This window comes from Homo sapiens, chromosome 14 (genome assembly GCF_000001405.40).
Source record: "Homo sapiens chromosome 14, GRCh38.p14 Primary Assembly".
Classification (NCBI taxonomy): Eukaryota; Metazoa; Chordata; class Mammalia; order Primates; family Hominidae; genus Homo; species Homo sapiens.
This window is the reverse complement of record NC_000014.9, coordinates 103,243,531-103,258,728: the sequence shown is the minus strand read 5'-3', so window position 1 is coordinate 103,258,728 and position 15,198 is coordinate 103,243,531. Positions and strand designations below refer to the sequence as shown.

Genomic DNA, 15,198 nt, shown 5'->3' with positions numbered 1-15,198 from the left:
TTTCTCCCACTCCTGTGTCTGCGGCCCAACCCCACTTCGCTGGCTTATTCTCCTAAGAGGCTGAAATCCAGAGTGGAAAGGAGCTGGGCCCAGGAAATTAACTCGGAGCATTTTTTTAATGCTGCGCCCAAACGCTCCCGTGTGACTGGTTATTGGAACCTGCACAGATGTGTCCAGGGGAGGGCCCTTCCCGCTGCCAGGGGGATGCCGCCACATGCGAGTAAAGACAAGGGTCCCACCCCTTCCTGCACCCAGGAGGCCTTCCAGGGTCAACCCAGTGCCGAGGCTGGGGGTGCAGTAGAGACCAGGAGCCACAGGGAGATATGACCGTGGGTGGGACCCAGCCTGGGATCCCTGGATTCCGGCCCTGAGCTGGGGCGGGCAGGGTGGGGAGAGGGCACAGTGTGAGGACCCCGCCCACCCCATCTGGGTCCTGGAGGGAGTCTGTGCCAGGAGCCCAGGGACAGAGAAGGCTCCACCCCAGGGAAGGAGGACCCACGGCTCCCTCAGCACCCAGGACCTTGGGCATGTGCTGGAAAATGGGGCCAGGGTCACTTTTAAATATTTTGACTGATTTCTCCAATTATTCTATTGGAGTTAGTAAATACTGAGATTTGTTATTATCTAACCCATTTTTAAACTTTTATTTTGAAAAATTATAGACTCACAGGAAGTTGCAAATAATAGAGTCCTATATTCTCCCCAGATCCTCTAATGGTGACATCCTATGAAGGATCCAAAGGTGTCCTTTTAAGCAACACCCGTACTTGGTGCTATTTCATTTGTATAAAGTGTACAATTCACTGGTTTTAGTATATTCATAGAGTCGGCTGTCATTTTTATACCTTTTTTTATAATTTTTTTTTGAGGCAGGATCTCACTCTGTTACTCAGGCTGGAGTGCATTTATGCAGTCATGGCTCACTGCAGCCTTGACCTTCTGGGCTCACGTGATCCTCCCACCTTACCCTCCTGAGTAACTGGGACAGCTGTTGTATGCCACCACACTTGGCTAACTTCTAACAAAATTTTTTGTGGAGATGAGATTCCACTATTTGCCCAGGCTGGTCTTGAACTCCTGGGCTCAGGTGATCCTCCCATCCTGGCCTCCCACAGTGCTGGGATTACAGACATGAGTCACTCGCCTGGCCCATTTTTAAACAAAATTATAATGGAGAATGAGCTGAGCCTGTAATTGCCCAATGGAATTTTGCCAGCTGCACAGGACAGCCAATTTATGAAGACAGTAGTAGTGCAGTAGAGAAAGAGTTTAATCAGTGCAAGGCTAGCCATGTGGTATACCAGAGCTTATTATGCAAATCAGCCTCTCTGAAAGCTGGGAGCCTAGGGTTTTTCAAGGATAGTTTGGTGGGCATGGGGCTAGGGAATGGGGATAACAATTGGTTGGATCAGAGATAAAAATCATGCGACTGAAGCTGTCTTCTTGCAGTGAGTCAGTTCTTGGGTAGGATCACAAGACCAGATGAGCCAGCTTCTTGGTATGGGCTACTGATCCAGGTGGCTCTAACTGATCCATCAGAATACAGGGTCTGAAAAATACATCAGACACGAATCTTAGTTTTTCAATTATGTTATCTATAGGAGCAACTGGGGAGGTTACAAGTCTTGTGATCTCTGGCTACCTGACTCCTGAGCCATAATTCTAATCTTGGGGTCTTTCGTTAGTTTTACAAAGACAGTTTTGGTTCCTGAATGAAGAGGAGATAGTTTTGGAAGGGCTATTATCATCCTTGCTTCAGTGTTAAACTATAAACTAAATTCCTCCCGAAGTTAGCTTGGCTTTTGCCCAGAAATGAACAAGGACAACTTGGAGGTTAGAGGCAAGTGTGGAGGAAAAGTTAAACATTAAATTTGAACTCAATTGAACATGGACACAAACAATGGCCACCAAGTCCCCAAACGGGTTGTGTGAGCCCCTTGAGGCGTTTATCCAGCGCTGTTTTGGAGAAATCTCTAATTCAATCTATTCCTATACATTAGTTATTGAAAAACAATAGAAAATTGCAAAAGCAAGTTGGCCCTTTTGTGTTCCTTGAGCCCAGTCACAAAGGCCCCTCGTGACTGGGCCTCACGCCAAACAGCTCGTTACAAAAAGAGCTAGGACCCCAGACCACATCGAAGCTTCATGAGACCTCTCCTTGTCTGTGCACAGACGGGTGGCCAACTCTGGAGCCCAGGCTGTTGCTTCCCGGTCTGGCAGTGAATCCTCCATAGCCTGGTGAGTGTAAATATATATATCTATCTTGGCTGGGCACAGTGGCTCACGCCTGTAACCCCAGCACTTTGGGAGGCGGATTGCCTGAGGTCAGGAGTTCGAGACCAGCCTGGCTAACATGGGGAAACCCTGTCTCTACTAAAAATACAAAAATTAGCTGGGTGTGGTGGCGCACGCCTGTAGTCCCAGTTATTCAGGAGGCTGAGGCAGGAGAATAGCTTGAACTCGGGAGATTGAGGTTGCAGTGAGCTGAGATCACACCACTGCACTACAGCCTAGGTGACAGAGTAAGACTCCATCTCCGAAAAAAAAAAAAAATATATATATACACACACATATGGATATATATTTTGCCTTCTCCCTTTCCCACTGCAATTTGCTTATTATATGAATTTGCTTATTATATTATTTGCTTATTATATAATTTGCTTATTATATCTGCATTGCCACGTAAGATGAAGGTTGTTTACACTTAAAGGTATTGTGTGTGTGTCTTTTCTTCTCCCCTCGCACTTTTCCTGCACAGAACAGCAAGATGGAGTTAGCTATGTCAGATTTCCCTTTCTGTCAGAATTTTGCAAAGGTAGTTTCAAGCCTTCAGCCAGTGGGTAGTATCCATTAGTACACACTGGAGTTTCGATCTATTTCCTGGAATGGTGTCTCACCTCTGCTGCCCCATGGCAGGGTTTCTCACTTCTGCTGCCCCATGGCAAGGCTGCCTGATCACTGCAGATCATGCTGACATAGGTGGACAGAACAGGTCCCTCCTGCTGGAGCACTTTGTGCTGTGATTTGCATAGACTGTGTTCTGAGAGTTACTTTTGCTATTTGAAAGATATTGGCCGGGCACAGTGGCTCATGCCTGTAATCCCAGCACTTTGGGAGGTCGAGGCAGGCTGATCACGAGGTCAGGAGCTTGAGACCAGCCTGGCCAATATGCTGAAACCCTGTCTCTACTAAGAATACAAAAAAATGGCCAGGCACGGTGACTCACGCCTGTAATCCCAGCACTTTGGGAGGCAGAGGCGGGTGGATCACGAGGTCAGGAGATCGAGACCATCCTGGCTAACACGGTGAAACCCCGTCTCTACTAAAAATACAAAAAATTAGCCAGGCGTGGTGGCAGGCACCTGTAGTCCCAGCTACTCGGGAGGCTGAGGCAAGAGAATGGCGTGAACCCGGGAGGCAGAGCTTGCAGTGAGCCGAGATCGCACCACTGCACTCCAGCCTGGGCAACAGAGCAAGACTCTGTTTCAAAAAAAAAAAAAAAGTACAAAAAATTAGCGGGGTGTGGTGGCACGCACCTGTAGTCCCAGCTACTTGGGAGGCTGAGGCAGGATAATTGCTTGAACCCAGGAGGTGGAGGTTGCAGTCACCTGAGATTGCGCCACTGCACTCCAGCCGGGGCCACAGAGCAAGATTCTGTCTCGGGAAAAAAAACAAAAAAAAAGAAAGAAAGAAAGACTAGCTATTTGGCACAGAATTCCATCAGATTTGCATGTTTTATCTCATTTATAGCATTGCATACAGCAATAACATTTTAATTTCCATGTAGTTTTAAATATACTTATAACCTATTTATCAAAGCTTTTAAAAAAGAAAGTGTTTCCTGAGTAACTTAATTGCATATAGAAACAGAGGGAGCCCAGCTCAGTCAGTCTGCAGTGTAATGGACAGTTAATTAACATATGTCTTTGAAAACTGAGTGAAAATAAAGAGTTTGAAACTTTCTGAGACTTATTAGATTCCTCTCCTTAGGCAGGTCTTGGATGTCGAATGCTATCCCCAGCAGCCTCAAATCTACAAAGCAGTGATACAATCACGCACCCGCCACCAGCTGAGCAACTGAGAATACCAAGTGTTCACCAGGATACCCAGCACCCAGAGGCATCTCACTTTGCTGGTGGGAGTGCACTTTTTTTCTTTTTTTTTTTTTTGAGACAGAGTCTCGTTCTGTCGCCAGGCGGGAGTGCAGTGGCGCACGATCTTGGCTCACTGCACCGTCCGCCTCCTGGGTTCTGGTGATTCTCCTGCCTCAGCCTCCCGAGTAGCTGGGACTACAGGTGCCCGCCACCACGCCCGGCTAATTTTTTTGTATTTTTAGTAGACACAGGGTTTCACCATGTTAGCCAGGATGGTCTTGATCTCCTGACCTCGTGATCCACCCGCCTCTGCCTCCCAAAGTGCTGGGATTACAGGCGTGAGCCACCGCACCCGGCCGGGAGTGCACTTTGTACAAACACCTGGAGAAACTGTTTGGCAGTGTGTTCTAAAGCTGAACCTACCCAAACCCTATGACCTGGCAACTTCCAGCAAGTGAGTGAATAAGTTTAATTGTGAGTGAATAAGCCAGACACAAAGAGTACATGGGTGTGCATCCTTGTCAACTGATAAAGAAAAGTGGCTCAGAACAGCCTGAGGAATGGGGGGGGGTCTGCAAAATGTATCAGGTCCAGAGGGACAGGAGCATGGGACCTCAGTCACACCCCCGCAGCCATGCCCAGGGGTAACTGTTTAAGGGCTTTGTTTTTTTCTTTCCTTCCCTGTAGTTTCCAGGCTAGCTAATAAATTACCTAAAATATTACCACAAGTTGCACAATGTGAGCCTCACCCATTATCTTCATGCTCCTGGAATTTGTGATACAAAGAACGATGTCTAATAAATCAATAGGTTATTTTAATGAAACAATAAAAATTTTTGGTAAACAACTTAGGAACTGCCCCATTTTTCCTTTAAATACTGACTTGTGGCTGAGTTTGGCGGCTCGCACACGTAATCCCGGTGCTTTGTGAGGCCAAGGATTGGGAGGAGGGCTTGAGCCCAGGAGTTCCAGGCTGCAGTTAGCTGTGATCATACCACTGCCCTCTAGCCTGTGTAACAGAGTGAGACCCTATCTCTATTAAAAAAAAAAAAAAGCCAGGCATAGTGGCATGCACCTACAGTCCTAGCTACTCAAAGACTAGGACTAGAGGCAGAGGTGGGAGGATCACTTGAGCCCAGGAGTTCCAGGCTGCAGTGAGCTATGATCTCACCATAGGATCTCACCATGGGATTACCATGGGATACCTTTTCTTTCTTTCTTTCTTTTCTTTCTTTCTTTCTTTCTTTCTTTCTTTCTTTCTTTCTTTCTTTCTTTCTTTCTTTTCTTTCTTTCTTTCTCTCTTTCTCTCTTTCTCTCTCTCTCTCTCTTTCCCTCTTTCTCTCTCTCTTTCTTTCTTTTTTTTTTTTTACAAAGTTTCATTCTGTCGCCCAGGCTGGAGTGCAGTGGCGCGATCTTGCCTCACTGCAACCTCCGCCCCCCAGGTTCAGGTGATTCTCTTGCCTCAGCCGCCCGAGTAGCTGGGATTATAGGTGCCCGCCACCATGCCTGGCTAATTTTTGTATTTTTAGTAGAGACGGGATTTCACCATGTTGGCCAGGCTGGTCTTGAACTCCTGACCTCAGGTGATCCTCCTGCCTTGGCCTCCCAAAGTGCTGGGATTACAGGCATGAGCCACCGTGCCTGGGGCCTCAGTTTCTTAATTTTGGTTGGCATTTCTGGTGTTGTCTGGAGGATTCAGCTCTATTCCTCCCTTGCAGCCAACTGGCATTCCCTCTCACACTCAGCAATCCGAACCAGTATAAACACTCTGTGTTCCTCTGACTCCAGAGGTTTCCTTGCGTGCAAAGGTTGAGTCCTGAATTCAGACCTCCCTTCCTTTTGGTTGAGGTCTAGATCTTTTTCTAATTTTTAATTTTTATTTTTTGTGGACATATAGGTGTATATATTTATGCAGAACATAAGATGTTTTGACACAGACATGCAACATGTAATAATCTTATCATGGAAAATGGGGTATCCAGTCCCACAAGCATTTATACTTTATGTTACAAACAATTCAATTATACTCTTTTTGTTATTTTAAAATGTAAAATTAAATTATTATTGACTATAGTCCCCCTTTTGTGCTATCAAATACTAGGTCTTATTCATTCTTTCTAACTATTTGTTTTGTATCCATGAACCCACCTCCCCTTCACCCTCCCACTACCCTTCTTAGCCTCTGGTAATCATCCTTCTACTCTCTGTCTCCACGAGTTCAATTGTTTTGACTTTTAGATCCCACAAATAAATGAGAACACGCGATGTTTGTCTTTCTGAGACTGGGTTATTTCATTTATCATAATGACTTCTAGTCCATCCATGTTTTTGAAAATGACAGGATCTCATTCTTTTTTATGGCTGAATAGTACTCCATTGTGTAAGTACCTCTGTTGATGGACATGTAGGTTGCTTCCAAATTTTGGCTGTTGTGAAGAAGTTGAAACTTTATTTGGGCTGTTTTCCAAATCCTTTCTTTCCTGCAAGAGTGAGGGCTTCTGTCTCTGTCTCTGGACAGGAGATTTAGGCAAAAGCTCTGCAGAGAATGTCTGTCTTCTCCTCAGCCTCATGGCAGCGTTTTGGGTTACAGTGTTGGAGTCTAGTGTAACTGCCCAATGGGTTCCTCTTGCCCACTGTTCAGAGGAAGCCAATTTATCAAGACAGGGAATTGCAACAGAGAAAGAAAGAGTTTAAGGCCGGGCACAGTGGCTCATGCCTGTAATCCCAGCACTTTGGGAGGCTGAGGGGGGCAGATCACCTGAGGTCGGGAGTTTGAGACCAGCCTGACCAACATGGAGAAACCCCATCTCTACTAAAAATACAAAATTAGCCAGGCATGGTGGCGCATGCTTGTAATCCCAGCTACTCGGGAGGCTGAGGCAGGAAAATCACTTGAACCCAGGAGACAGAGGTTGTCATGAGCCGAGATCACGCCATTGCACTCCAGCCTGGGCAACAAGAGTGAAACTCTATCTCATAAATAAATAAATAAATAAATAAATAAAAACAGTTTAATACATGTTGTCATCGGCTAAACAGGAAACTAAAGTTTTATTGCTACTCAAATCAGCCTCCCTGAAAATTCAAAGTTTAGGATTTTTTTAAAGATAGTTTGGTGGGCAGGAGGATGGGAAGTGGGAGTGCTGACTGCTTGGGTCGGGGATGAAACCGCCGGGAGTCGAAGCTGTCCTCTTGGGCTGAGTTGGTTCTTGAGTGGGGATCATAAGACGAGATGAGCCAGTTCACCAGTCAGTGTAGCCTCAGCTGACCCATCAGAATGCAGGGTCTGAAAAACACCTCAAACACCAACCTTAGGTTTCATAATAGTAACGTTACCTATGGGGGCAACTGGGGAGGTGAGGAATCTTGTGGCCTCTGGCCGCGTGACTCCTGAGCCAAAATTTCTCATCTGTGGCTCATTTGTTAGTTCTACAAAGGCTGTCTGATCCCCAGGCAAGGAGAGGGTTTGTTTTGGGGAGAGGCTGTTATCTTTGCTTCAACATTAAGCTATAAATCCCTCCCTTCCTCCTTTGGCCTACACTCAGGAATGAACAAGGGCAGCTTGGAGGTGAAAGGTAAGATGGAGCTGGTTAGGTCAGATCTCTTTCACCATCATAATTTCCTCATTGTTATCTTTTTTGCAAAGGTGGTTTCACTAGCACTGGTGATTTCACTTTTTTTGACCTAAAGTTACATAGCATGATTTTAAAATTGTAGCTGTTTCCTATTGCTGGTAATTTGGACTCGTCTTTTCAATTGTGACCAATTCCTGCTAGTTTCAAACCAAAGGGTGCATGAGGGTGAGTTCTCTCACCTGGAAGTTAAGAGACACTTGCTCCCTCCAAACCCAGCTGGGTGCTGCAGGGGACTAGAGATTTTATGGGGGTGTTGGGATGTTTGTCCATGATGTGTAGCAGTCTGAGAGGGCCTCCCTGCAGGACAGACCCCAGCTGGAAGGTGCACATAAGGGCTGGTCACCTGGCGCCTTTAGCACTCTACCACTGCAAGGGGACCAGGGATTCTGAGACACATAAGACAGTCAATCACGGTGTCACTGGGACCTTAGGGAGTGACGCTTGCAAGTAGCACACTTCAACCAGAAGCTCTGTTCCAGCCTTGATCACTTTTGAGAAGGAATTTCTAAAAGTATGGGAAAATGGTTGTCAAAAACTGAGCTTTCCTTTAAGGGGCAATCCCCCTTGGAAGCACCAGCCGGGTTTGTGGGTCACCCCTGTAGAGCGCCATGCTGTGGACACCCAGCCAGATGCACCCACATGACTCAGGATGACCCCAAATTTCAATGGCCAAAATCGGGGTCTTTGGAAATTTCTAAGTTAATATGTTTGTGCATACAATTAGCAGGTTTTAGAACCAGACAAATTGAACAGCAGTCCTATTTTAACGGTAGGTAGAAGCTTCTAAGAGAGGTATGGAAAAAATGGCTTCCGTCCAGGAGATAAGCAAAAAATTGTCAGAAACAATTTCACAACTAAAGAAAACCTTGAAAATGTCTTCTCTTTCTCCTTCCACTGCTCTCCTGTTGCCTCCTCCCACACCTCTACATCCACTTTTGTCAGGCCTTCCATGCTCTGGTTACCATCTCTCCTATCCCTCCTCCGCCAGAGGAAGAGGCTCAGCAAATCCCACAGCACTCTTGCAGATCTTCTGGTCAACCCGCTTCTTTCAACGAAGGCAGCTCCAGCAGCTGACTTGCCAGACCCAACCTCTTAAGAAGATGCAGATAAGCCCACATGACCAAAGAGGGGTCTGCTTCTCTTGCAAGAAACAAAGTCACCTTTAAAAAGATTGCAAACAACTTAAATGGCAACAGGAGAGAAAAACCACCCAAGAGAAACAGCTGCTCTGGGGAGCCGAAGGGGGCGTTTCTATTTCTCCTTCCTCTCCCATTAGGAGGAGTGGATCCACTGCTGAGTGAAGAGACTCCTGCTCTCACTGACACCAGAGCTGTCTTCTCTGTTCTCAACCCCATCATATATAACTGTCCCCTTCCTCAGAGGAACGAAACCACTGAAATGGTGGGAGTGCCTAACCCACCCATGACTGTAAGGCCCAAGTTTCAGAATTTCAAATAGGGACTGCATGAGACTATTTTTGCATTGCTGCAAAGAAATGCCTGAGGCCGGGCATGGAGGCTCACGCCTGTAATCCCAGCACTTTGGGAGGCCAAGGCAGATGGATCACCTGAGGTCAGAAGCTCAAGACCAGCCTGGTCAACATGGCGAAACCCCATCTCTACTAAAAATACAAAAATTAGCCAGGTGTGGTGGTGCGTGCTTGTAATCCCAGATACTCGGGAGGCTGAGGCAGGAGAATCGCTTGAACCCAGGAAGTGGAGGTTGCAGTGAGCTGAGATTGTGCCACTGCACTCCAGCCCAGGCAATAGAGCAAAATTCTGTCTCAAAAAAATAAAAAAAAGAAAGAAAATATTTTGAATTCGGAACCAATGGATGATGTGAGCAACTTATGGCAAACCCTGCCTCACCACTTACGGTCACAAGCACCCACATACATTGGGAGAATAATTTCAGCCACTCATCATTTGCAGCATCACTCTTGCCACAGGCTTCTTTATGTGGAGTTCTTCCCTTGCCTTCACCTCACATTACTCTCTCACTGTAGGGATCTTAGCCCTGCTACTGTGCTGCCATTGCCTTCTGATGGGCTGCTCCCTGGCTGTATTGCCGTGACCCAGCAAATTCTCACTCCTAGGCAGAACTCACAGGAGATGCCTACAGAGGATGCTGATGTAATTTGGTTTACTGATGGCCCCTAATTAAATGGCAATTCTGGAAAACACTGCAAGGTGATGCAGCTGTCTCTGTGACTGAAGTCCTAAAAGACAACCCTCTCCCAGAGGCAAAGTTGGCCCACCCAGCAAAACTGATTGCCTTAGCCAGAGCCTGTCGATGCGCAGAAAGCAAGGTTGCTGAAGTTTACACAGAGAGCAGAGGCGCATTTACAACAGCACGTGATTTGGGGATGCTCCGGAAATAACGTAGATTCCTGACTTCTTCCAGACAATCCCTTAAAAATGGCCAACAGGCCTTTGATCTCTTGGAGGTCATTCAGAAACTGAAATCACTGGCCCTTATCAAAATTCCTAGACATCGGAAGCCAGACACTTTTGATGGTAAGAGCAACTGTTTCACAGAGGCTGTGACCAAAACTGTTGCTGAAGTGTCTTTCCTCACCCAAAAACTATACATCTCGAGCTATCCCTGCAAGCATATGCTCCAATTAAAACTTTGCTGAAGGAGGCCAAGCACGGTGGCTCATGCCTGTAATTCCTGCACTTTGGGAGGCCAAGGCGGGCAGATCACTTGAGGCCAGGAGTCCAAGACCAGCCTGGCCAACATGGTGAAACCCTGTCTCTACTAAAAATACAAAAATTAGCCAGGCGTGGTGGTGCATACCTGTAATTCCAGCTACCCGGGAGGCTGAGGCAGGAGAATCGCTTGAACCCAGGAGGCAGAGGTTGCAGTGAGCTGAGATTGCGCGACTGCACTCCAGGCTGGAAGACAGAGTGAGACTCCATCTCAAAAACAAAACAAAACAAAAAAACCTCGCTGAAGAAAGCACAGAGAAAGGCCCTGAAAAAGAGTTAAAGCTTTGGAAAAGTAAGAGGGGGATGTCACGTCCTCTCCTGAAATGGGTTTATGGTACAGTTCAGTGATAGACCAATTCTTCTCTCGCGACTTTGGTTACCCTTTTTACAATATGTTCATGAGTCAACTCACTGGAGTCAGATAAAACGATTTCATGGAAAAACAATTTCATGGAAAAATAATATTCCTGGAAACCATCACCCATGATGGCTCAAAAGGTGTACTCTCGGCTGAACTCAGCGGCTCATGCCTGTAATCCCAGCACTTTGGGAGGCCGAGGTGGGTGGATCACTTGAAGTCAGGAGTTCGAGACCACATTGACCAACATGGTGAAACCCCATCTCTACTAAAAAAATACAAAATTAGCCAGGCATGGTGGCAGGCGCCTGTAATCCCAGCTACTTGGGAGGCTGAGGGCAGGAGAATAGCTTGGACCCGGGAGGGAGAGGTTGCAGTGAGCCAAGATTGCGCCATTGCACTGCAGCCTGGGTGACAGAGCAAGACTCTGTCTCAAAAACAAAACAAAACAAAACAAGACTTGTTGCCTGGGCAACAAGAGCGAAACGCCATCTCAGAAAAAAAAAAAAGTGTACTCCCCCCATCCTGCTTGTCCCAACACAATTCTGAAAAGCACTCCACGTTCCTCAAGGACATTTCCCTGAGACATTTCCCATCAGGACCTTTTGAGATAAAATGGCAACTGAATTTTGTCCAACTGCCTTTATCTCAAGGATACAAGTACATCCTGGTCATGATTTCCATGTTTTCTCATTGGGTTGAAGCATTGCCATGCCGTAGAGCCATGGCCTGAACAGTAGGTAAATTTTCGCTAGAGAAAATTATTCCTTCTTGGGGAGTCCTCCAAGTTGCACAGCAACCGAGGAACCCATTTCACCTGTCAGACAATTCGGTCTATTTGTGACATACGGCGATTTTTCACCACTGCACTATGCATGCCACCCTCAGCCTCTGGCCTGGCGGAACACATAGACGGTGTTAAGAGTGGAGGGTGTCCAGGTCCTCGGTGTCTTGAACAAAGAAGTGGACAAAACGCACAAACAAAGCAAGGAAAGAATGAAGGGCTTTGTCTTACTTTGTTTTTCTTGGGACGGAGTCTTGCTCTGTCGCCCAGGCTGGAGTGCAGTGGTGCAAACTCGGCTCACTGCCAACCTCTGCCGCCCGGGTTCAAGCGATTGTCGTGCGCAGCCTCCCGAGTAGCTGGGACTACAGGCATCCGCCACCACGCCCAGCTAATTTTTGTATTTTTAGTAGAGATGGGGTTTCCCCATGGTGACCAGGCTGGTCTCGAACTCCTGACCTTAGGTGATCCACCTGCCTCGTCTCCCAAAGTGCTAGGATTACAGGCGTGAGCCACTGCACCCAGCCGAATGAAGGGTTTTATTGAAAATGAAAGTACACTCCACAGTGTGGTAGTGGGCCTGAGCATAGGGGCTCAAAGGCCCTGTTACAGAGTTTTTGTGAGTTTATGTGAGTTTAAATACCCTCTACTTGGGGTACACCCTGTGTAAATGAAGAGGATGACGTAAAGTGATGCCATATGGAGAGGATATTTCCTGTTATAGCTGAAGTGTGAATTGGCCTTATGTTCCCTGCCTCCAGACCTTATTTTCCTGCCACAATGGATACAAGAACAAATGGCAAAGTTTACAGAAACTTTGAACCTTGTCTTGCCTAAGGCTCTTCCATTGGTATTGCTTAAATTACCTTCTACCTGTTTGGAAAACCTCAGCTTTCTCCCTTTGAAATAACTGCAGGAAGCCCCATGTGCCTGGAGGAAGGAGCCCAGTGAACCAGCTCACCCTAAAGGTGACATTCTTCATGATTGCAAGGCCTTATACAGCTTCTCACTAAAAACTCTAAATTAAAGATTCTTTGAAGAGTCAGCACCCAGGAGACGAAGACATCAGAGGTCATGGCCTGCAACTAGGAGGTTTTGATTCTTGGAAAAGACATCAAATCAAGGACTCTTTCTATCAAATAAGGGACTCCCTCCAGCTCACCAGAAGGGCCCATGTTGGGGATTGTTTACCAATTCCTTGTGCAGCTAAACTCAAAGGCACTGACTCATGCATTCACATTTCTCATTTTAAAAAGGCAGTCCTCGCAGCCATAAAAAAGAATGAGGTCATGTCCTTTGCAGGGACATGGATGAAGCTGGAAGGCATCATTCTCAGCAAACTAACACAGGAACAGAAAACCAAACACCGCATGTTCTCACTCATAAGTGGGAGCTGAACAATAAGAACACAAGGACACAGGGAGGGGAAAAACACACACCGTGGCCCTGTTAGGGGGTAAAGGGCAAGGGGAGGGAGAGCACTAGGACAAATACCTAATACATGTGGGGCTTAAAACCTAGATGCTGGGTTGATAGGTGCAGCAAACCACCACGGCACATGTATACTATGCGACAAACCTGCACGTTCTGCATGTGTATCCCAGAACTTAACGTAAAATTAAAAAAAATAAATAAAAAGGCAGTCCTGCATGCATGGGTACCTTCCACCTGGAGATCCCCAGCTGAAGCTGATCTGCAGCCAGTTACCTTATTCTTCAGACCAGGACGAGAAGTGGGAAATTAATTAGAAATCACTCAAAAAGTTAAATGGGCTGGGTGCGGTGGCTCACACCTGTAATCCCAGCACTTTGGGAGGCCAAGGCTGGTGGATCCCTTGAGGTCAGGTGTTCGAGACCAGCCTGGCCAAAATGGCGAAACACCATCTCTACTAAAAATAAAAAAAAATAAAAAATAAAAAAAATTTGCCAAGTATGGTGGTACACATCTGTAATCCCAGCAACTTGGGAGGCTGAGGCAGGAGTATCACTAGAGCCCAGGAGGCAGAGGTTGCAGTGAGCTGAGATCACGCCAGTGCACTCCAGCCTGAGCAACAGAGTGATGCTCTGTCTCAAAAAAAAAAAAAAAAAAAAAAGGCAAAATGGCTGCAAGATGGTAGAAAAACAGACCCCTCACGTGATTTACATGATTGATTACCTTTAGGAATAGGAATGCTTTCCAGATTGGGATTTTATTTGCATCATATTTTTTATTCTTCACTTGATTAGGCTTTGTATTTCTAGATGTCTAAAGTCAAGAATAAAAACGAAAATCATGATAGCTAGAACACTTAGGAATGATCCGCGACACCACAGCTTCTCTCCAAGCAGGCGGCCTGGGATCCCGCTGCTCTGTCCCGTTGTGCTGCCAATATCTTCTGCCTGGAGACCTCACCGAGTTCATGAGCCAGAGCACCTCTCCTCTTACCCCCCCCCCCCCCATGGGAATGAGCCTTCCCAGTGATGCTGGGCAAATTTACACTTAAAATGTTGATCAGCTAGGTGCAGGGGCTCACGCCTATAATCCCAGCATGTTGGGAGGCCAAGGAGGGTGGATCACTTGAGGCCAGGAGTTAGTTCAAGGCCAGCCTAGGCAACATGTTGAAACCCTATCTCTACCAAAAATACAAAAATTAGTCAGGCATGGTGGCATATGCCTGTAGTCCTAGCTGCTCCGGAGGCTGAGACATTAGAATTGCTTGCACCCTGGAAACAGGTTGCAGTGAGCAAAGATCACACCACTGCACTCAAGCCTGGGCAACAGAGTGAGACTCTGTCTCAATAAATAAATAAAATGTTAGATGCAGTTAGGTTTCCTCTTCAAACAGCTTATCCAGTTTCCTCATTCTCTATCCTACAATTCCAAATACCCCCTTGCCTGTGCTGCACCGCAGCTTGTCTGAATATGCCTAGGCATGCCTGAACTTGCTACAACCCCAGTCCACATTTCTTTCCTTATTAGGGAATAGGTTACCCTCCTAGTCCCTCCGTAAATGACCCCCCTTCTCTCCCTTCTCACCTCCCTTACGTGCCTACCTTATCTAAGAAAGTTTAAATGTTTAGCCAACTGGGACTAGTTTAGACTGTGTGGTCCAACCCTAGCCAATAGGGGAAAGACACAGAAGCAGAAGCTGTGTTAGACATAATAAAAACCCCTGCTTTCCTTTGTTCTGTGTGCTTTTGCCATTACTTCACATGTGAGATGCACATACCCTTCTGCCGAAGTAAATTTGCCTTGCTGAGAGATCCTTAGTCTCAGTGCTGGTTCTTCTTTGAGGCACCGAGCATTTGTTTCCAAAAAATAAATAAAATAAAATAAAATATTGATCATCAATACTTTCAGAGAGCAAGATCTTGATCCAAAGGAGGAAATAAGAAAGAGAAGTGGCTCAGAGCAGCCTGAGGAATGTGAGACCTGCAAACTTATCAGGCCCAGAGAACAATGATGCCAGCAGCTGTGCCTAGGGTTCACTGTTCAAAGGCTTTTTCTTTCCTTCCCTGTAGTTTCCAGGCTAGCTGACTGTCTAGACTTCCTAAAAGTTACCACAAATTGTACAATGTGATCCTTATCCATGTCAATGAAAAGAGTCAAATTCTGTGAAATATGTTACAGGGTTTAT

At 46.4% G+C, this 15,198-nt stretch overlaps 1 annotated feature.

The window, feature by feature from the left end:
• Positions 13,971 to 15,170: an enhancer, noted in NCBI's record as "MED14-independent group 3 enhancer chr14:103709896-103711095 (GRCh37/hg19 assembly coordinates)". NCBI's record gives its function as "activates an origin of replication core promoter dependent on BRD2, BRD4, P300/CBP and CDK7 cofactors, and independent of MED14, by STARR-seq in HCT116 cells {active_cell/tissue: HCT116}" and the evidence as "EXISTENCE:reporter gene assay evidence [ECO:0000049][PMID:35650434]".